Below are 1,041 nucleotides of genomic sequence, written 5' to 3' on the forward strand. Positions count from 1 at the left end.
ATGTGAGGTGGATTTGTTCTACTTCTTCCTTGTGTATTCTTGGTGAAGGCCGATAATTTGCTACTTAGTTAACAGACATGTTATAGGGCTGGAGCCTGAGATAAGGTCAGGAGGAGAAACATCCCGCTTAGCTTGACAAAGAGCTTGGTTTAAGGCTGGAGAGCTGACTGTGCAATTGTCTGAGCTGCTTTTCTTGGAAATGGCTCTCTTGGCTGAGCTCCAGAAATATAATCAAAAGTGGCCTGAAATCACAAGTTTTGCTGCTTGCATTCTTAGTTTCACAATTTAAGGATTTGGCTGGTGCCTGTCCTGAAAGTGTGGAATTGTCTACTGTTTGCTACACATGACGTTGAGTGAGTGTGTGTCTATGTGTGTACACACACATGCATGTGCAGGACACAGGGATTGTCTGCGTGGGCATGTTTTACAGTCCAGCTGTTTGTACCTTCAGGGAGGCAGTGATTAAAGAGCAGTGTATGGCAGGTTTTCTTTGATTTCAAGAATCACATATTTGGTTTTGTAGTTAGTGTCTTTGGAGAAGAGTGATGGAGACTCTTGCATAGAAGTGCAACTGATTGCTTAGGTGCAGTGGTTTTGCCTTTCTTAAGAACTCCGCCTCAAAAATATGGAGATAATTTACTTAGAAGAAGGCAATGTGCCGCTTTTTGGAGAAGCAGGTGTACCTGACCTTGCCCTGGGGGAAGTGAAGACCTGAGTTTGAGGAAGTCAAGCTTGAGGCTGTCAGAAGCAGTTATTTATATCTGAGTGATGTGTATGAAAGCCAAAGCCTTTCATTCCACCACCGTCACGGAACTAGTTTAGAGAAGAGGAAGGGCGTGCATTTTGCCTTGTTAAATATCTACTGCACTAAGAACTTCTGGTGTGGTTCAGATTTCTGGTAATCTGTACCCAGGCTCTATTGTCTAAAAAGGAGTGCTTAGACACTCTTCTTTCAACCTACTTTGTGGATAAAACAGCTCACTTCCAGTTGATTGATAGACTGTCAACTGATTGTTGCTTCCTTTCACCAGATGCCCCTCG

At 43.4% G+C, this 1,041-nt stretch overlaps 1 annotated feature.

The window, feature by feature from the left end:
- Positions 14 to 308: a silencer, noted in NCBI's record as "tiled region #12300; HepG2 Repressive non-DNase unmatched - State 7:EnhWF". NCBI's record gives its function as "represses a minimal TATA promoter and a strong SV40 promoter by Sharpr-MPRA in HepG2 cells {active_cell/tissue: HepG2}" and the evidence as "EXISTENCE:reporter gene assay evidence [ECO:0000049][PMID:27701403]".

Source organism: Homo sapiens, chromosome 14 (assembly GCF_000001405.40).
Source record: "Homo sapiens chromosome 14, GRCh38.p14 Primary Assembly".
NCBI lineage: Eukaryota > Metazoa > Chordata > Mammalia > Primates > Hominidae > Homo > Homo sapiens.